The 21,362-nt window shown below is 45.7% G+C and overlaps 3 annotated features.

Moving 5' to 3' along the window:
- Nucleotides 2,548-2,597: an enhancer, noted in NCBI's record as "active region_2196". NCBI's record gives its function as "activates an Ori minimal core promoter by ATAC-STARR-seq in GM12878 lymphoblastoid cells {active_cell/tissue: GM12878}" and the evidence as "EXISTENCE:reporter gene assay evidence [ECO:0000049][PMID:35858748]".
- Nucleotides 18,171-18,941: an enhancer, noted in NCBI's record as "OCT4-NANOG-H3K27ac hESC enhancer chr1:182070081-182070851 (GRCh37/hg19 assembly coordinates)". NCBI's record gives its function as "activates a minimal SCP1, AML or CMV promoter by ChIP-STARR-seq in naive and primed H9 embryonic stem cells {active_cell/tissue: H9 hESC(naive and primed)}" and the evidence as "EXISTENCE:reporter gene assay evidence [ECO:0000049][PMID:30033119]".
- Nucleotides 18,639-18,933: a silencer, noted in NCBI's record as "tiled region #790; HepG2 Repressive non-DNase unmatched - State 8:EnhW, and K562 Repressive non-DNase unmatched - State 21:Repr". NCBI's record gives its function as "represses a minimal TATA promoter and a strong SV40 promoter by Sharpr-MPRA in HepG2 and K562 cells {active_cell/tissue: HepG2 | K562}" and the evidence as "EXISTENCE:reporter gene assay evidence [ECO:0000049][PMID:27701403]".

Genomic DNA, 21,362 nt, shown 5'->3' on the forward strand with positions numbered 1-21,362 from the left:
ACTGAGGCATATCTGGCTGTGTTCAAGACTTTATAAAACTTCTCTGGGATCACTGACCAGAACATTTCACAGCTCAGAATGCTTGTTTTTGACCAGACTGGGGGCATCTAAAGAAAAGCTCTAGGGAAAGGAGGTAGCAGAGCATGGACTGCCTGCCCTCAGCTCCCACTGGCTGGCTCAGCAGGGAGCTCTGGAGCATGGTGGTGTCCGTACAGCCCACAGCCTTCCTGTGCTTTCTCCCTGAGCGTACACACAGTGTCAATGGAAACACAGTCATCACATGTTACATGTCTCTACCAGTCAAGGGCAGAAGCACAAATGTCTGAGGGCTTGTTTAGGAAGGGCTTTGGGGAGCATCTGCTCAACATGAAAGTTGCTAGAAATATAGTTGGGGGCCAGGCATGGTGGCTCACACCTGTAATCTCAGCACTTTGGGAGGCCGAGGCGGGCGGATCACCTGAGGTCAGGCCAACATAGTGAAACCTCGTCTCTACTAAAAATACAAAAAAAATAGACACATGGTGGCACAAGCCTGTCATCTCAGCTATTCTACAGGCTGAGGCACACGAATCACTTGAACCCAGGGGGAGGTGGTTGCAGTGAGCCAAGATCACACCACTGCACTCCAGCCTGAATGACAGAGGGAGGCTTTGTCTCAAAATATATATATATACACACACGCATATATATATAGTAGGGATTCTCAGGTCCATGTTTCCTATTTTCTCCACTGTGAACTCTGTCTTTTCCCTTTCTACTAAAGGGAGGGAGAGTGCTGACACCCACCCACCGCCCTCCTGCTGTCTCCGGGCTGTTCCTCCATAGAACCTCCCTCTCCAACTGGCCAGGCCTGGTCTGTCATCTGCACAGGCCACTCCCACCACCCAAAATTCTTTTACCTCTTTCCAGTTTTCAAAATCACATTCACGAAGACTCTTCTGGTCATTCTGACCCACCCTGTGTCTCCCCCCATCTCTCACAGTACATGTGATCTGCATTCCCATAGACTCTTACAGCAGGAAAGGGCTTCGAGAGTCTATGCTCATCCTCCTCATCCTGTCACTGAAAATTAAACCAAGGTCAAGAGGACAAGTTTTTTGCTCCAAATCACTGAGAAGTGTACTGCTCTCTCTCTAATTGTTTCAATAACAGGGGCCCTGTCTTGATCTCCTTTGCACCCATGACCTATATGAATCTGCTATAAACCCTGGTACAAGAACATTGAGTTCCTTTATTTCCTCATTGTGGTTTGAACTGGTATTTCTCTACTTCTGGGACAATGTCAAGGTTCGCGAGTCCCTCACAGAGTCAAGGAGGCTGATCCTTGGGCATTTGTCCAAGTGGGTTACAAGGGTGACATCTGGGGCTCTTTCAGCCTGTATCACAGGTCTCTGGCTTCAGGATGCATCTCTGCCATTCTGAGGACCTGGGAATTCATTGTAAGGCTGACATCCAGAGCTTCCTGGCACTATGCAGACACTTCCCTCTGGGGCTTGATACTTCTCTGGGGCTCTGCGGGGACCAGGGTGGGGCAGTGGCCTGGAGTCCTCTCCCCACACTGACCCAGAGAACTGTCTACTAGGGGAGGCATCTTCCCTGCCTCCTGCTTCCTTGGGTTGCATTGCTTTGTCTCTCAAACCCAGGCCTCCCTCTTGTTTTTCACCATAGATCTGGAGGGCCCCTAAACCCTAATGATTAGCAACTGAAAAACTTGTTTTTCCTTTCTCTTAACCTTTTAAACCTGCCCAGAAATTGAGGGAAAAAAAGGTTTGTAGTCTGTCCTCTTGGGGGCAGCAAAGAGGTGCATTAAAAATGTAGCAATTAAGTTTCTATTTAAAAGGCCAGCAATTCACATCTTGCTCATCCTTTTACCTGGAATCTTCTCCATTTTTCAACTGGTTAATGCTGGCTTATCCTTCAGGACTCAGCTCAGACATCACCGCAGATAGAAGTGACTCATATTCATGAATCACCCCCACTTCTCACTCCCTTCTGCAAAAGTGGGGCTTTGCTTTATTGTCCTCTGTATTGCCAGCCCCCTCATATCAAGTGCTCCACAAACACATGCTGACTTGCACTGAATTCAAGGCAAAGTGGTGGGTAAGTGAGATCCACTTGTTGACTAGTGGCTTCCCAGGGAAGATAGACTTAAACAAGAGGCACCAAAAGAGGCGCGTGTTTGGGGGACATTCCACTTCCTAGAATAAGATATTCAAACGCAGAGCCAGAGAAGGAGGACAGGGAGGCCTCTCCCGGCTCCCTGCCTCTATTTACACCAGGCATTCAGAGTGGGGGACAGTTCTAAGACTGACCAGGAGGTGGCAGCGTTGCCCCTTGGATGAGGGACTCCCTTCAGCAGGACAGAGGCAAAGGACACCGCCTCTCTAGCTCTGGGAGGAAGTCACCAGGAGGCCTCCCCTAGGCCAGTCTCAGAGGGCCAGGATGCCAGCTGCCTTGCACACAGTAGGGATCTATAGCCATGTGTGGATCCAACGTGGTTTTGTTTGTTTGTTTTTGAGACAGAGTTTTGCTCTTGTTGCCCAGGCTGGAGTGTAGTGGTGCGATCATGGCTCTCTGCAACCTCCGCCTCCTGGGTTCAAGTGATTCTTGTGCCTCAGCCTCCTGAGTAGCTAGGACTACAGATGCCCGCCACCACATCCGGCTAATTTTTGTGTTTTTAGTAGAGACAGGGTTTCACCATGTTGGCCAGGCTAGTCTCGAACTCCTGACCTCAAGTGATCCTCCTGCCTCTGCCTCCCAAAGTGCTGGGATCATAGGCGTGAGCCACCACACCCAGCCCCACATGTTCTTATTCTAAGCTTTGCTAGGGGCTTTGCATGGGAAAGGAAGGAAGGAAGAGTGGGAGAGAGGGAGGGAGGGAGAGAAGGGACTCAGGCCTTAACCTAGAACCCCTGCATCAGAGTCTCTTGGATGGTTCCTGGGAATCCTCAGGTGATTCTGATGGAGGCAGGCACAATTCTCCCTTGTGTGACTAATTTCCCAAGGCCTCGCCTTTCAATCACAGAACTGATTTTATCCATTGTGAAAACCTAATGCAGACCCCAGCGCACGCCTCCTGCTCTCCCTCAGCTGGGAGGCTGACCGAGGTATTTTAGGCATCCCGCCAGAGATGGCTGCTAGGTTGCAAAGACAAGCAGTGCCCTCCTGGGCACAGCCCTATGCCCCCCAGTGGGCACTCCCTCTCTCCTTCTCATCCTATCTTCAGCTTTGGCATGAGTGGCTGGCCTGACACAGCCCACCTCACCCCAGCAGTGGCGCCCCAGGCTGAGCTTCAACCCAACTCTTGGGTAAGCAGCAGGGAAACTGAGGAGTATTTCACAGTTAGTCTCTGTCCCCTCTCAAACAGGCAGTATTTTCAGGAGTCCTTCGTGACATTGAGGCCTGTGGGGGACATCTTGATGTTGACTGGGGGCACACGTTGGCAGGGCTACCCCCATGTGGAAAATCTTGGCTGGGGTGGCGGGCTTTTGGTTTTAACAACAAGTGACTCAATTGTTGTCCCTTCTTCCTGCAGCCTCCCCAAGTCACTGCCCACAGATGGCCCTGGGCAGAAAGTGGTCAAAGAGAGTGAAGCCCGGGGGAGGAAAGCTCGGGTGCCCATGGCGCCCACTGGATGGCTGGCCTGGTTGGGACCCACTCTGGCGGGGCCAGCTCCTGGTGGTTCCCTGCACATCCATCCACTGTTTCCCATCTACACTCTGCCAGAAAGTCCTTCCTCTCCTGACCCCGCCATCCAAACCCTATGTGTTTCAGGAAATCATTTTTCAGATGCTACCTGGGGACTCCTGCAGCTGCTGTGCATTTTCTTGGAATCTCTCATGGAACCATGCATGATGACTGTTTCTACATCTCTGCATGGGAAGGAACTCAGGGATAGAGGGCACCCCGTTCCATCCCCATCCCAGCCCCTAGTGCAGGGGAAGAGAGCCGTGGATGTTAACTATTGTGAGTACATGACGGGAAGGAGAAGGTGGTGGCGCCTCAGGGTTGACAGGAAGGGACAGGAAGGTTTCATCATGGAGGCAGGAAGGGGGCCGGGCCCTGAAGGATGGATTCCATTTCTAGGTGAAAGTCACCAGCATGTTATCAGAGCGTCCTTCTTAAGTAGAGTCAGAGCTGCGCTATTTTGAGTGGAATGAAGGTGGTCTGTGGGTTGGAAAGGCCAGTCATGATCCCCAGTCCATTTTGTGGGTGCCCCTGGTTGATCCCTAAGACAACTTCCTGGAGTGTGTGCATTGACCACAGATGTCAGGGCCTGGGCTTCTCTCCTGAACCCAGTTCACACCAAAAAAGGACATGAAGGACAAGGACCAAGAGAGGGCTGGAGGCAGAAGTGCTCTCAGAGCGGACACAGGGTCCCACCCCAATCCTTGTGCCTGAAGCAGAGTTGCAGTGTGGCCGCTACTGGCACCAGTACAGCAAAGCAACACCCTAAAATCAAAGCGGGAACAGCAGGAGATGGAGCCCGTGTCTTTGAGGACCTCAGAGGCAGAACTTCTGGTTGGGGCCTGAGGACTTTTGCACTCTCCTGAGCACCCTTGCCTTTTCTTGCCACCGCAAGGGAGATGTTATCTTCAGACTCTGGGGCTATTGCAAGCTGCTGCTCTTCCATGAAAAGCTTGGGGCCTTTGCTCAGTGAAGTCAGGATGTTTTGAGATTACAGGGAGGGTGGAGGAAACAGGAGGGCCCACAGGGTGGGTGAAAAACCTCATTCTCCGCCCTCTCAGCTCCACCCTGCATGCACTACCAGCATTCTCAAGGCTTCCTTCTCAGTTTGTGTAAGACAAGGAAAGCCTGAACCAGGGATTCCCCTCTCAGCCACCCCAGCTGCAGCCCCTGAGGGTGGGTGTGCATGCAAGGGACAGGGTGGGGAGCCACAAGCTCATCTTCCACCCCTCCACAGCTCATCTGGCCTTGCCTCTATTGCTTGGGGAAAATGGCACCTTGAGGACAGAGTATGCCTTGCTTTCTCCTAGGAGAATGTTCTCTTTCTGTACTCGCTGATGGAGCTCTAGCTAAAAAAAGTATATTTCCCTGCCTTTTCTTTCTTCCTCCTTGAGGGCCTCTCTGTAGACTTTATCAGGCCACACTGATGAGCTCAGAACAGAAAAGTTATGGCTATATGGGAGCAGGCTCCTCCCTCATAGCTCCTGGTCAGATCTGGACATCTGGGGCAGCCGCGGATCAGAGCCCCAGGCTGGCCCTGGACCAGACCCCTGCTCCTCTGTCCCAGGCTGGCCCACTGCCTCCATGAGTCACTAAGGTAACCAGGAGGGCAACCACAGGGGAAAACAACCACCCTTATTGCCCCAGGTGGCAGTCCCAGCCCAGGGCAAAACTGGGGCATTACTTCAACTGTACCAAAGTCAGGCCTGTGCCTGGGGCTGCAGGAGGCGGCTGCAAAGAGGCTGGGCGGGGCAGCAGGAAGCCCTGTGGAACTTGCGTGTGTCCTGACTTGCCATTTCTGATGTCAGCACCTTCAGATGCCCTTTCATGGGGTAGGAACTGGGAAGGGCAGAGGTAGTAACATCTGAACAAAGCTGGGTGAATTCCCACGGAAGACGGAGCATCGAGTCGTCAATGCCTTTTGGTAAACAAGTCGCAGCTCTTCCGTCTTGGCTCATCCTCATGGGCACATCCCAGTGGTGTTCCCTGCCCACCTCTGCACCCACATTTTAAGGTGTGTAATCTGCCTCCAGCTCTGTCCTCCCCACCTCAGAGCCTTAGGATCTCTGGCTCTGACATTCAGTGCAATGTGTGCCGCCTGGTAGGCGCTCAGCGTTTTGAGTGAAAGAATAAATGTTTAGGTTTCCAGCAGCACCCCGTGCTGCTGGGATCACAGAGTGGCTGCTAAACCCAGGGTGTTGATTTGAGTGCCCAATGGGTGCTCCTCCGAAAGTAAGGGAAGTGACCCTGTGGAGCTGTGGCAGAGGTCGCATCCCCTGAGTTGCTGACCTTGCAGAGAAGCACAGGGTGCTCCTGCCTGTGGGTTGGGTGAAGCACCGTGTATATCTTTATCTCTGCTTGGGGGCCTGTTTCCTCCCCTTGACTTGTGCCTCCTCAATAGCAAGCCCGAGTCTCATTTAAGCTTTGAATTCTAGCACAGAGCTGGGCCCATCCATTAGATGAAGTGTGTTTACAAGTCTGTTCCGGAGTCGGTGGTGCTCCTGCTGCTTCACCTGGGCTCAGGACACCGAATACAAGATGCGGTTTCAGGATCTGGAATCCGCAGAGCCAGTGGGCTCCATAACCTGGGTCTGGGTGCCATGGCTAGCATCGTTGGCTGTAAGGAAGCTGTTCTGGCAGTTCTTGATGGCCGCTTCCCTAGCATCTCTGTGACAGGAGCCCTGAGAGAGGTCCTCTTCCTCCCTTTCCTTAACATCTGCCCTAGAGCTCGGCTGAGCTTCCCTGGGCCCTTGCAGCCCTGGTAGGCCTTTAGCACACAGAGTCAATATTTGTAAGATGCTCTGATGAGTGGCAGGAAGGGAATATACATTCTGTTTTATAGAAGGCAAGAGAAATATCAGAGGGAAAAAGTAAGCTTGCTCTTCATATTTGACCCCCACAGTGCCTGGAATGTGTGAGACGGATCCTGCCCTTTCCTTCACCAAGCCACCTAGCAGAACCCATGCCATCCAGGGCATCTGCGAGAGAAACACCTCTCCCAGCCTCCCCTGAGCAGCCCACTAGCGCTGTGGATTCCAGATCCTGAAACTGCATCTTGCACTCGGTGTCCTGAGCCCAGCTGAAGTGGCAGGAGCACCACTGACTCCAGAACAGACTTGTAAAGAAAGAAGGTATCTCCCAAGTCAGCCACAGAGGCTCATGGTTTCCTGCTCCATCTAGTCCTGGGTGTTTGCTTAAATGGGCACTGGCTGACATGACTGAAACCTCATGCATCCATCACACATTCACCCTCAACAAAGACACAGCCCCTCCTTTAAGGCCTGTGCTCCCTGTACATACACAGTGCCCTGCAGCACAGAGAAACCACATGAATGGCCTTCTTGGCTCAAGGAGTCAGGGAGTAGGGGCCTGCTGAGCATGACCATGTCCAGAGAGTGGGGACCCCAAGAACTGTAACAGCCCATTGGACAGATGTGGGCAGGAATGGGGACAAAATCACCCACAGTCTCAGACCCCAAATGAGGTGTGAATATGAAATCCATGAAAACCTCATGTGGAGGCCAAAAGACTAACTAGATTCCCATCTCATCTCTCCAGGCCAGAAGCCTATTATCCAATCCTTCCTCTCATTGCAAGCCCCAGAAGTAACAGCAATTACAAAATAAAGAAAAATAAGAACTTGTCAGCTCCAATTTTGGGGTTTGAATGTGGTCTCTGGGGAATGATCAGACGGTGGAAGCAGCTGTGGGCAGGGACTCCTCATGCAGCGATGACTACTCACTAACCCAGGGCATGCATTCGAGGTAAACCCTGTGGGATTCAGGGCTTGTCCTGCATCTCACAGTTGAGCGGGCAAGAGCCACCTCTGCCCAAGTGAGGCTTTGTCCCGCACGTCATCTGTATGACCTTGCTCTAGGCTGCTCAGGGACGGTAAGATTTTTGTTCTTGAGGACTGGAGCAGGTGATGGCCCAAGTGCAATGAGTTCTGTGGGCATCAATGCTCAAAATAAACACTAATGCACTACAGTCCCTCCCACTTGAGAGGCCCCTACCTGTCCCACAATATCTCATCCACCTAGAATTGAATCCTGGGTCAGATCCATACTCAACCAACTCATTTAAGTGCTACCAAGGGCTGACAGTGGTAATAGGCTTTCCCTATTACCTATAAGGGGCATATGTTCCTTTTATAGATGCAGAAATTAGAAGTCAGATTGCTTAAGTGACTTGCCCAAGACCACAAAGGTAACGGAGACACAGGTCTTTTGATTTCTAATTCAGTGTTTTGACACCACACAAAGGCCACCTCCTTCTTTGAAACCTGGAACGGTGCTAGTTGCCCTACAGAATCCCAGCATGGCAACCGGCTGGAAGAGGAGAGGCAAGGTGCAATTAGCATTCACTGTGTGTCAGGCTTGAAGCAAGCCTTTTCCTGCCTTCTGTTGGTGAGTGTTAATCAGCCCTGCTCTTTGGGGTCCTAACGCATGGACTCAGGGGCCAGAACTCCACCTCAGGCTACTTATGGCATCCCAGACAAGATATTTCACCTCCATAGACCTCAATTTCCTCACCCGTAAAATGGGATTAGAATGCCATCCACCTCACAGAGTTTGTTTATGGATTCACTGAGTTAATTTGTGTGAAGCACTCAGAACAGGGATTGGCACTTAGTACATGCTTTATAAGTAAGTGTTTATTGTTGTTTAATATTACTTCCAAATAGGACAAACTAGTTGCCACATCTCCAGGGCCCCTGGCCACACCCACTGTCCCAGAAAGCTCCACTGTGAGGTTCTTATGCACCTGAACTGGGCCTTCTAGGAAGCAGCTTCTATGGCTGAGGGTCCAGCCAGCCTGGTTCCACTTTCTCCTCCCTCTGGACTCTGCTCTTATTCACCAACTGTCCTGGGAACGCTGGGACTGTCATCACAGCACAAAGGCGGCACAAAGCACAGATCAAGCACTCAGTGACTGGGCTGCCAGCAGCTTCTTGCTGCCTCAGATGCAGAAGGGACAAGTGCCTGGTTCTTGGCCTGGCCCAAGGGTGGAATGAAGTCTCTGGCACAGCTTGGCGTGTGTTCCAGGCTCCCTCACAGGAAGAACCAAACACAGACCCCTCCCTCAACACTCTCGCTGCTTGTTCTCCTCTCCTTCTTGATAGGGTCCAGGTAGTCCCTTACTCCACCCAGCTGCTTAGCGAGCTGCCTCTACCTTTCATTTTTTTTTGTTTGCTTCATGGACAGTGTTCTCTCCCAGAAGCAGAAAGTCCAACGAGGGACATTATGAGGTGGACTTCGTGTGATGGGGAAGGATCACTTGTGAAGGGAAGACCATGAGGCTCTTGGGGGCACGCACCCACTTTCCCACACAGCTAGCAGTGGTGGGAAGAGAAGCCTGCTCTCAGTAGACTTCTCTAGAGAGGAGATTTGAATAGGCTTATGGAAAAATTGACACAGAATTTATATTAGTTAAGGTATCCTAGCTATTGTACTATGCAAATTCTCAAATCCTGGTGGCTTCACCCATAGAAATTTACTTCTTACTTCTGCAAAATACAATCTGGAAAGGAATTACTCAGGTACCCAGGCTGATGGAGGCACTGCCATATGCAACATGCAGCTTCCAAAATCAGCTGGAGTGTAGACATCCAGCCAGCAGATGAGGCAGAGAGGGTGTGGAGAGTTGGAAGGCTTTTTGGGTTAGTCCTGGGAGCAGTACATATCACTCCCACCTACATCCCACTGGCCAGAACTCCACCACCAGCCTCCCCCATCATAAATGGGACTGGGAAATGTCACCCTTGCTGGAAAGCCCCTCCCAACACCACCTCCACATTGGACAGGGAACGTGACTGTGGTAGAATCAACCAAATAGGAGTGCCCACTGAAGGGCATTCAAGGAGGAGGTTTTAGCAGCGTGATCTCAGCTGCTCCTGAAATGAAAGAAGAGTGCAAGAAATCTGAAAAGGCCATCTTAATAAACAGAAGCAAATAAATGGACCAAGTGGCTACAAAGGAAACTCAGATGAGCTCAGTCTTAAAGAAAACATGTACGAAAGGTGGAAAGAGTGGCCACTGACCAAAAACAACATAAAAATAGAAAAGACTGACGTAGAGCTGAAGAGTCATGTTAAGAATGTTGAACCAAGATATCAGAAAAATGTTAACACAGGAGCCTTTTTAAAGCTTTGTTTGAGTCAGAAGAACAAAGGAGTCTTAGGTCTGTCCCTGTGGATGGATGGTGGGATGTTCCTGAGCGACAGAAGAAACATTCCTACCCATTTTTATTTTCCTCCCAACATTTTCGTCAAAGTGAATGATTTTAAGACCAAAAAGAGCAGGAGTTTTGAATAGAAGGCATTGAAATCTCCAAAGAATGAGGAGTGTACAAGACCAAAACTTATTCCTTAAATTAACTGAAATATTCTAGCCCAAATGAATTACATTCCAGAGTTCTAAAATAATTTTTAAGAAGAGAGTAGTGTAGATGCAGGAATTTAAGAGCATAAGCCCTGGAGCTAGACTACCTGAGTTTGAGTCTTGGCTCAGACACTTGCTAGCTGTGTGACCTTGGGAAAATTACCTAATCAATCTGTGCCTTAGTTTTTCTATCTGGTAAGTGGATAAAATAATATTACCTACTTCACAGGGTTGTTTAAGGATTTAAATAGGATGCTGTCTAAGCACCAGGCCTGACACCTATTCATTGTTCAATAACTTAGTTCTTGTTGCTGCAGCTACCATGACATGGCTGATCTTCTGTGAGTGATCTGTAAAACATCATGGCAACCACAAGAAAGTCTAGAAAACAGAGATGAACAAATGCATTCCAATTTTCAAATACAAGAAGTGAATTTTTCTCAATGCCATCAATGCCAGGCAAAATTTCTGACTCTATGATTATTTAACATATTGTTATGTACCTACTGTGTGTCGGGCTCTATGCTGGGCCCTGAGAATCAAGCACTGAGCAAAATAAACAGAAATTCATGCCTTCCTCATGTAGTAGGTCTAGTAAAGGGAGACATATACTTTTTAAAAATAAGTAAATATATAACATGTTTATTGCTAATAGGTGGTACAGAGAAAAACGATGCAGGCCGGGAGGATGCATAATGTTAGAGTGAGAGGGTGACCATTTTAAAGAGAGAAGTCAGGTAAAGTCTTTGTGACAAGAAGACCTTTTAGTAAAATCTGAAGATGAGGGACTCTCTGGAGAAGGAACCACAAGTGCAAAGAGCCCAAGAGGGAAGTATACCCAGTGTGTTCCCAGCACAGCAAGGCGGCCAGTGTGCCTCATGTGGAGAAACTAGCAGGGAGAAGGGTGGAAGATGGGGTCAGAGAGATAGCAGGAGGCCAGATCAGGCAGGGATTTGAAAGCCCTTGTAAGGACCAGCAATGTTACCCAGAGAGAGATGGCAGCCATTGACCAGAAGAGTGGCATGCTCTGATTTACATTTTAACACATTCCCTCTGTGTTGCAAATAGACTGAAGGGAGGCTACGGTGGAAGCAAACAGGCCTGTTTTAATAAACTGTGCAGTGATGATGGTTGGAACCAGGCTGGTAGCTATGGGCATGCAGAGACATGGTCTAACAAGCAGTCAGATTCTGGATAGAAGCAATTGAATTTTGCTAATAGATTGAATGAGGATATGAGAAAAAGAGAGGAGTCAAGGCTAATTCCAAGGATTTTGGCCTGATCAGCTGGAGTGATGGTATGGACATTAACTGAAATGGGATGGCTACAGGAGTGCAGACACAGGTTTAGGTGACAGGAAGAAATGAGGAGCTTGTTTTTGGATGTGTTGTAGTTGAGATTTCTATTTGATATTCAAGAAGAGAAATCTGGCAGGTGGTTGGATTCATGTGTCTGGAGATCAAGGAAGAGGCCAAGGTTGGAGAGGTACATCCATGAGAATGCTACAAGGGACTAAAGTAACTTACAAAAAGAGGAAGTCCAGGCCGGGCACGGTGGCTCACGCCTGTAATCTCAGCACTTTGGGAGGCCGAGGCGGGCGGATCACGAGGTCAAGAGATTGAGACCATCCTGGCCAACATGGTGAAACCCTGTCTCTACTAAAAATACAAAAATTAGCTGGGGGTGGTGGCGCATGCCTGTAGTCCCAACTACCTGGGAGGCTGAGGCAGGAGAATCACTTGAACTCAGGAGGTGGAGGTTGCAGTGAGCCAAAATCATGCCACTGCACTCCAGCCTGGTGACAGAGTGAAACTCTGTCTCAAAAAAAAAAAAAAAAAAAGAGGAAGTCCAAAGACGGAGCTCCCAGGTATTCCAATGTTAAGACATTGAGAAGAGGAGGAGGAATGAGTACCTAGAAAGTGGTGACGACCAGGATTCGAGATTGGGTCACCAAGAACAGGTTTTGCCAGATGAAGCTCATTCTTTTATTTAGAAATTGTCCCAAACAATGCCATAGTTTGTCCAGATTTCAAAATGGTATTTGAAAAAAAAAAAAAGATTCTTCTGACATCTTTGAACATGACGACAATATGGTGTCTTATGAAGCAGCTTTACTGGATTTATAAATGGCCTATTCCATCCTCTCTCTCCAAGGCCTGGACAAAAATTGGATCAAATAAGAGCATCTTGGGAATGATACTCCAATTTGCAGATGCTGCAAAGCTAGGCAAGATAGAGATACATTGTCAAAACATGCAGGATCCCAAATAATTCTGGTGGATTAGATGAATAGTCAGAGCTAACAAAATGACACTTAACAAGAATGATTGGGAATTCCTGCATTTTGGTACCAATAACTGAATATCTAAATGTCAGATGAGGGAACCAGTGTTTGGCCACAGTAAATGAGAATGTGGCCCAGGAATTTATGTTGATAATAAGCTCCATATGAAGCAGAACTGTGATATGTTACCAAAATATATAGCCTTCCCCAGCAACAAAAACACAGGAGTGTCATCTATAATAACTAACTATCTTACGGCACCTCTGTGCTGGTCAGTCCACACCTAGAATATTTTATTCCATTCTGGCATCATGCTTAAAAAGGGAAACTGACATACTGGGGTGCATACACAGGAGAAAAATCGGGACCTGTGAAAACTGCTGCAACCTTCTGGTCCTCCTGCTTCCACCTCTTGCCTCTCCTACCAGTTCCCCACACTGCTCCCAGTTTTCTTCCTTGGACATAAATAGGATCATATCACTCACTTGTTTAAAGTCTTCAGTGCTTTTTTCTTCACTGCCTAAGGAAGACTCTTCATGTTCTATCTTTTTCAGCCTCATTTCCCTCTACTCTCCTGTTGGGTTCTATGCTCTGGCCACCCTGTTCCCCAGGTTACTACACTTGTTCTCACACCATGCTTTCATCTGTGGAGTTAGTACCTTCTGTGGGCTCTCAAAGCACCTGATTTTTCCCTTACCTTTTGTTGCCTTACCTCACCATGTATTCTGGCCTTTTTTCTTACCTATATCACAACTAGGCTGCAAGCTACTTGAAGGCAGGGACAATAATACTTCTGTCTCTCTCTTTTTTTTTTTTTTTTTCTGTTTGGACAGATCTTGCCACAAAACATGTACTCAGTAAAGACTGGTTGAATTAATGAAGGAAGGAATGAAGGAAGACATAAATAAATGAATCAGTGCTAGTTCCTCTTCCTGTTGGCTCATCTGCTATATCCCATTCATCCTTCCAGGCACCCAGCTCAGACATCAGGCATTCAGAATCCTTCCTGCTGCCGCATACTGCACCTTTCCCTGAACTTCCCACAGCACTTGGCATGTGGCTCCATAGAGCCCCTGGGGCATTGTACTTATTTGCCTACCTGGTTTTTCTGTCTCATTCATCTTTGTATGCCCCAGACCATGGCTGGCCATGTACCTGGTGTCATATCTTATGAGGAATGCCTAAGGCCACGGAGAGTCTATAGCCCAGAGAAAAGGAAACACGATTCTTTAATTAGAAAGGAAAAAAGATGGTCCTTCAGCCTGGTGGTGCAGTGCCGGCTCGCATCTGTGAGAGATAGCAATGGACAGACTTGACAGGCTCTCCAACTCTGAGATTTTGTGGTTCCCGGCTCTGGAATTTAATTTGCTGTGTTATTTCACTGATAGTCTTGTTTCCAGGCTAAATAGCCCCAGAGAAAGGTAGGGAGGAAGTGTGGCCCCCTTTGCTGCAGGTGGATTGTGGCAGAGGATAAGGAAGATGGTCACCCTCTGAGGCAGCAGAGAGGTCAAGGGTGAATTTTCTAATCTCTCCATACTTTATGGAGGGAAGGTATTCCTGACCATGGCATCCCATTGGGACTAGGAGAGGTACTCCTCACACCCTGTCCCAGAAGGCTCTTGGCCCTGGCTCTCTCCAAAGCCAATCTGATTCAGGGAGCCGTGGCTGCTGTACCACAAGACCTTTTTCCCATTGCATTTGGAGTATAGAGATTCAGCTTTCTGCCAATGCCACAATTACTTCTGGTTCAGGGAAGGTCTGAATTCTTGCAGAGATCTAGAAGGAGGTCATCAGTGTGGGCAGAAAATGGTCATAGGAAAGACTGAATGTCCCTACAGCCTTCAGCTGCATGGCCATTTTGCCCTGGGACATGGATAAAGAGAGGAGTAGGAGACCAGAGAGGAGCTATCTGAAGAACAACTATGCCAGCATTCTGCAGGCAAGACAACAGCTTTCCAGGAAATCTGTGGTCACCATAGCAAGATCCTGACCTGGCATCAGCTTTCAGGATGTTGGTGCAGGTTCAGAGGATGCTGTACCTTGTCCCTGAATACCTGGTTTCCTAGAAAGTACATGCAGAAGATGGCTCTGTCTGCATAGAACCTGCTTGGGTGTGCTCAGGTATCTACAGGTTGAAACTCTGAAAGCGGGTCAAGAACCAGGCTGGCCAACAGGAGGCATTTCTAGGATTGTTTTCTAAGAACAGGCATGATAAAATAACCACATTCAAGTTTTCTGTTTCATTCCCCTTATCAAGGGGACAAAGTTTGTAAGTGCTGCTCTGACCTTTACAACCATTGAAGAAGACACTTGACACAGTTTTGATGTCACTCTGAAATGCTCCCCTTGCTTGATTCTCCCTACCTGTTTTTCTAACACCCTATCCCTCCCACTGCACTTTCTCCTCAATCTCACTACCAGAATTTCAGAAAGCAATTCAATGCACAGTAAACCAGTAACAGCCTTAAGCTTTGTCTCTGAGTGACTTTGGTGCCCTACTGGTCCATACAACTTGTGGCAGTAACTTGCTTCTAGCCTGTTGAGCTCAGCAGCAGACCATGATTCACTCGGACAAGGACTGGCCCAACCCACAGTAGACACTGGGCTGGAGCTGGCATTTGTGAAGGCAGAGAATGCCACCCTCCCGTCACTTCAAGGATGCAGCTATTCTAGGGATAAACCCAGATCTGATGGGCTGTGTTTTGGAAAGCAGTTGATAACAGTGTTGTCATAGAAAACACCTACCTGGGGAGTTCCTTGGACCTTTAAAACAACATCTGTTTATTTAGCACAGTGCCTGTCACACAGGAGCCATTCAATAAACATTTCGTGGATATCTGTTGAATTGTTCTATCGACAAGAATTTAATGAACACCCAGAATTAGTTCTAGGTATCCAGGGAGAAATAAAAAGGAAGAGTGGCAAGTCCTGTCTTCAATGATTCTACAATTCAATGGTGAAAAGACTTACACATTGGAAGAGTAAAATCCCACCATGTGGCAGTCTATGATCAGGCATACCTGTGTACTGCAGTCCTGCCAGACTTGAGGGCTTAGAAAAGCTCTGCTTTGCTCAGCTTTTCACACTGACTAGGGTCCTACCCAACGTGCCTGTGGACCATCTGTGAGAACCTATGTAGGAGTGATGACTTTGCCTTGTGAAAGGAGATGGCCACACATCTATCCCTCTAAATGTTAAAGTTCTCCTTGCTCTAATTTGGTTAAAAGCATTTCGTAAGTATTGAAGTTGGTGTCACATAGAAGGATTATAGAGGACACGTTAGTAATGCTCGTCATGTAATGCTCATAACTTTGGCAATGAACATGATGATGGTAATGGGATTGGAATCGCTGTGATGAGGGTTTTTGCTGCTTTGCTAATGAAGAAATCAGTAAGGAATGAAGCTTCCAAAGGTCACACACACACACACACACACACAAACACACACACACATTTTCTTCATCCACTCACCAGTTGGTATATACTTAGGTTGATTCCATATCTTTGCAAGTGTGAATTGTGCTGTTATAAACATACATGTGCAGGTGTCTTTTTGGTATAATGACTTCTCTTCCTTTAGGTAGATACCCAGCAGCGGGATTGCCGGATTGAATGGCAGATCTACTTTTAGTTCTTTGAGAAATCTCTGTACTGTTTCCTATAGAGGTTGTAGTAATTTACATTGCCATCAATGGTGTATAAGCGTTCCCTTTTCACCACATCCGTACTGACATCTATTGCTTTTGTGACTTTTTAGTAATAGTTATTCTGATTGGGATAAGGTGGTATTTCATCATGGTTTAATTTGCATTTCCCTGATGATTAGGAATATCAAGCATTTTTTCATGTTATTTGGCCATTTGTATATCTTCTTTTGAAAAATGTTTGTTCATGTCATTTGCCCACTTTTCAATGGGATTTTTTTTTCCTTTGCTGATTTGTTTGAGTTCCTTGTGGATTCTGGATATTAGTCCTTTGTCAGATGTAGAGTTTGCCAATATTCTCTCCCATCCTATAGGTTATCTATTTACTCTGTTGATTATTTATTTTGGTGTGCAAAAGCTTTTTAGTTTAATTATGTTCCATTTATTTATTTTTGTGTTTATTTTGTTGCATTTGCTTTTGGGGTCTTAGTCATAAATTCTTTGCATAGGCCAACGTCCAGAGAGGTTTTCCTAGATATCCTTCTAGAATTTTTATGGTTTCAGGTCTTAAATTTAATTTAAGTCTTTTAATTCAGCTTGAGTTAATTTTTATATATGGTTAGAGATAGGGATCCAGTTTCCTTCTTCTGTATATGGTAATCCAGTTTTCCCAGCACCATTTATTGAACAGTGTGTGTTTTTGTCTGCCTTGTTGATCTTTGTCAAATATCAGTTGGTTGTAAGTATTTGGCTTTATTTCTAGGTTCTCTATTCCATTCCACTGGTCTATGTGTCTACTTTTATCGCAGTACCATGCTGTTTTGGTTACTATATCTTTGTAATATAATTTGAAGTTGGGTTATGTGATGCCTTCAGATTGGTTCTTTTTATCTAGGATTGCTTTGGCAATTCCAGCTCTTTTTTGATTCCATATACATTTTAGGATTGCTTTTTCTAATTATGTGAAAAATGATATTGGTAGTTTGATAGGAATTACATTAAATTTGTAGATTGCTTTGGGCAGTATGGTCATTTTCATAATATTGATTGTTTCAATTCATGGGCATGAGATGTTTTTCCATTTGTTTGTGTCATTTATGATTTCCTTCCTTCCTTTCTTTTCTTTCCTTTCTTTTACTTTCTTTTTTTTTTTTTTTTGGACATAGTTTCACTCTGTCACCCAGGCTAGAATGCAGTGATGCGATCTCGGCTGACTGCAAGCTCTGCCTCTAGGGTTCAAGCGATTCTTGTGCCTCAGCCTCCCAAGTAGCTGGGATTATAGGCATGCACCACCACACCTGGCTAATTTTTGTATTATTAGTAGAGACAGAGTTTTGCCATGTTGGCCAGGCTGGTCTTGAACTCCTGACTTCAAGTGATTCGACTGCCTTGGCCTCCCAAAGTGCTGGGATTACAGGCATGAGCCACCATGCCTGGCCATTTATGATTTCTTTCATCAGTATTTGGTAGTTATCCTTGTAGAGGTCTTTCACCTCCTTGGTTAAGTATGTTCCTAAGGTGTTTTTGTTTTTTTTGGTAACTATTGTAAGTGGGATTGAGTTCTTAATTTTATTCTCAACGTGGTCTTTAATGGTGTATATGAGTGCCACTGATTTGCATACTTTGATTTTGTAACCTGAGACTTTGCTGAATTCATCTATCAAATTGAGGAGTCTTTTGAAAGAGTCTTCAGAGTTTTCTAGGTATAAGACCATATCATTGGCAAACAGAGATAGTTTGACTTCCTTTTTCCCAATTCAGATGCTACCCCACGCCCTGCCTCGGCCTTTTTTTCTCTTGCCTGATTGCTCTGGCTAGGACTTCCTACCTTGTCCATCTTTCCTATGTACAGGTGAGGTCCTTGTGGAGACAGGCCTTCTACAAGAGCTTTCTTCTCATGTTTTTCCACACCTTGCTTCCCTTCACCAGACTTCTGCAACAGAAATGGAGGAACTGGAGGTTATCTTGGCCAGTAAATTCTCTGGCCCAGTTGGAGTCTACCAATATGCCCTGTTGCCCTTCTGTTTATAGACTCCATGTGGTGAGGGACACAGCCTCTCTGGTTTTCCGGTCCAACTCCTGCAGCTGGCACAGCACAGGCATACTGTAGGTCTTCAATAACTATATGCTGAATTAATTAATACGTAATCTAGTCTTCAGAGAGTCCCACTTCTACCAAACCAGCAGAATGTCTCTTGCCTAATTCCACAGGTCTAAAAACATGGGGTGCAGATGTCCTCTCCTGAATCCCTTCCCCTGTCTTCTACCTCCTTCCCAGTCCATAAGGAATTCTAGTCTAATCCCCCTTCCAGAGCAAATCTCTGCTAAAGGTGGAATTTCCTTTGAGGTCACAAGGAAAAATTTCAATATCAGCTGAAAATAAGCCCCCAATGTCCTTTGTGCTTTCAATTTTTGGCCTTTTGGACTTGTTGATCATTTTTAGGCACAGAAATCTATTATTTCATCTCTTTCCAAGTTGGTAATTTTCAGGTGAATTGGTTGTATGTTTCAGGGAATGGGGGAAACCTGGGCAGAGATCATTTTAAAGTAGTCTTTGGCACTTCCTTGATTTTCAAATGTCTTTGATTTCTCAGCTGATAGAATTGAAGTCTTCTCCCCAAGTATCATTAGGCTTTACCCCAGCTCCCAACATGTCAAGTGGCTGTGGGAAGGAGCTGAGGCATGAGGGCAGGCGCAGACATCCTGCCTAGTGGACACAGGCTGGAGCATGCCTGTCCCAGGGATCCCTGCAGCCCACAGCCCGCTGTGCCTGTCACCCAACCTCACCTAACCACATTCTTTCTGCATCGCAGTCGCCTGCAAGACAATACCTTCACTGCTGGCCTCTTGCTTCTCTGACCCACAAAGAATGTCTGGCTCGATAAACATTCACCCAGTGATTATAGGATTAACTGCAACCTGTAGCAAAGGGAAGCTTTTAAACAAAGGTTTTGCTTTGTTGCTTTGGAAGGGAAAATTAAAAATATAAAGCCAACAAGCATATTATGTGTTAATGGGTACTTTAGGTTTTGAGTTCCAGAATTCAGTTATCAGTGAGAATTTCCTCTTGCAAAGAGGTAATCGAGTTCAGGCTGTTGTGCTCCTATCTCTCCTTCTCTCCACAGGCTCCACTTTTAATTGCAGTTTCCATGACAGTGAGATTGTTGCAAGAAAGCGAGAAAGATTGTGCGTGTACTAGGAAAATGTTTATGAAAATTCACATGTTTCTTTTTTTCTTTTTTCTTTGCTAGAAAGAAAGAAGGAAAGGTGGAATGCTAGAAAGAAAGAAGAGAAGTGATTTTATGTTCTTGAGTATTTATTATGTGCCAGGCACGAAGCTAGGTGTTTAACATATATATGGCGTTAAATGTGTGTGTGTGTATAAAACTTTTTTTATTGTGAACTATATAACTTATCTACCAAAGAGTACACAAAACAAAAAATGTCCAGCTCAGTGATTTATCACAAAGCAAACACCCAGGTAAAATCAAGAACTAGACATTGCCGGAATCCCAGAAGTGGCCCTTTTGATGCCTTTCAATTATTACCTCCTCCTTTCCCTTCAAAGGAAAAAACTACCCTGACTTTTGTGGAAATCACTTGTTTGCTTTTCATTGTAGTTTTACCACCTATGCATTAATCCTAAACACTATAGTTTAATCATTATAATTCGTCTTTTTTTTGAGATGGAATCTCATTCTGTCACCCAGGCTGGAGTGCAATGGCGTGATCTCAGCTCACTGCAACCTCCGCCTCCTGGGCTCAAGCAATTCTCATGCCTCAGCCTTCCAAGTAGCCGAGATTACAGGCATGTGCCACTACGCCCGACTAATTTTTGTATTTTCAGTAGAGACGGGGTTTCACCATGTTGGTCAGGCTGGTCTCAAACTTCTGACCTCAGGTGATCCTCCTGCCTTAGCCTCTCAAAGTTCTGGGATTACAGAGGTTGCAGTGAGCCACCACTCCCAGACTAATTGGTTTAATATCCAGTAGAGCAAGTCCTCCCAGGTTTTGTTTTTTTTTTTTTTTTTTTTTTTTTTGAGATGGAGTCTCACTCTATTGCCCAGGCTGGAGTGCAGTGGCTCTATCTCGACTCACTGCAAGCTCTGCCTCCCAGGTTCACGCCATTCTCCTGCCTCATCCTCCCAAGTAGCTGGGACTACAGGCGCCCACCACCATGCCCAGCTAATTTTTTGTATTTTTAGTAGAGACGGGGTTTCACCGTGTTAGCCAGGATGGTCTCGATCTCCTGACCTCGTGATCTGCCCGCCTTGGCCTCCCAAAGTGCTGAGATTACAGGCGTGAGCCACCACTGCCAGTTTGTTTTTATTCCAGAATGTCTTGGTTGTGTTTATCCCTTTGCATTTCCATAAAAACTTTAGAATCAGCTTGTCAATTTCCACAAAAGAAAAACTGTTATTTTCTTTCTTTCTTTTTTTTGGTTGTGGCAGGGAGATTGCATTGAATCTGTAGATCAGTTTTGGGGAAAATGATGTTTTCACATTTTTTTATTCTAATTTCCATCATGATTTCTTTGAAGTTTCAAGCATATGAGGATTTTTTAGTTATCTCTTTGTCACTTTTTCCCCGGAGAAATACTTGGAATTACTTCAATATTTTGCAATTTATTGAGACTTACATTATGACCTACCATATAGTAAATTTCTGTGAATTTTCCTTGTGTGCTTGGAAAAAAATTGTACCCTGCAATTATAGTGTGCATGTCTTGTAAGTATTCTTTAGGTCAAGTGTATTTGATTGTGTTGTTCAAATCTATATGATTAATAATGTTTGTCTGCTAGTTATACCATTTGCTGTGAGAAGTATGTTAAAAGTCTACCATTTGTGATAGTGAATTTGTTTTTCTGTTTTCTTTTGTATATTTTGAGGCTATGTTAGCAGTATGTAGAAAATTAGAATTATATTTTCCTGGTGAATTCAACTTTATCATAATGAAGTAGGTCTTTCTTATCCCCAACAGTGCCTTTTTATGGTACATGTTTAAGGTTTATACCATGCTGTTTTGATATACATATACATAGTGAAATGATTACTTATAGTTAAGCAAATTAATCTATCACTGTATATGTATATACATATATGTGTATATATACATATATGTATACATATATACATATACATGCACACACATATATTACACACACATATATGTATGTTTATATACAGATGAAGTTTGATATATACAGATGAATACTGATTACACATGTATATGCATATACATGTGTGTATATGTACACATACATATACACACATATATGTATGTTTATATACAGATGAATTTTGATTATTTCACTTTTCCCATTTATTAACTTGGAAGTTACCTGTTTTTACTAATTTTACTAATTA

Source organism: Homo sapiens, chromosome 1 (assembly GCF_000001405.40).
Source record: "Homo sapiens chromosome 1, GRCh38.p14 Primary Assembly".
NCBI lineage: Eukaryota > Metazoa > Chordata > Mammalia > Primates > Hominidae > Homo > Homo sapiens.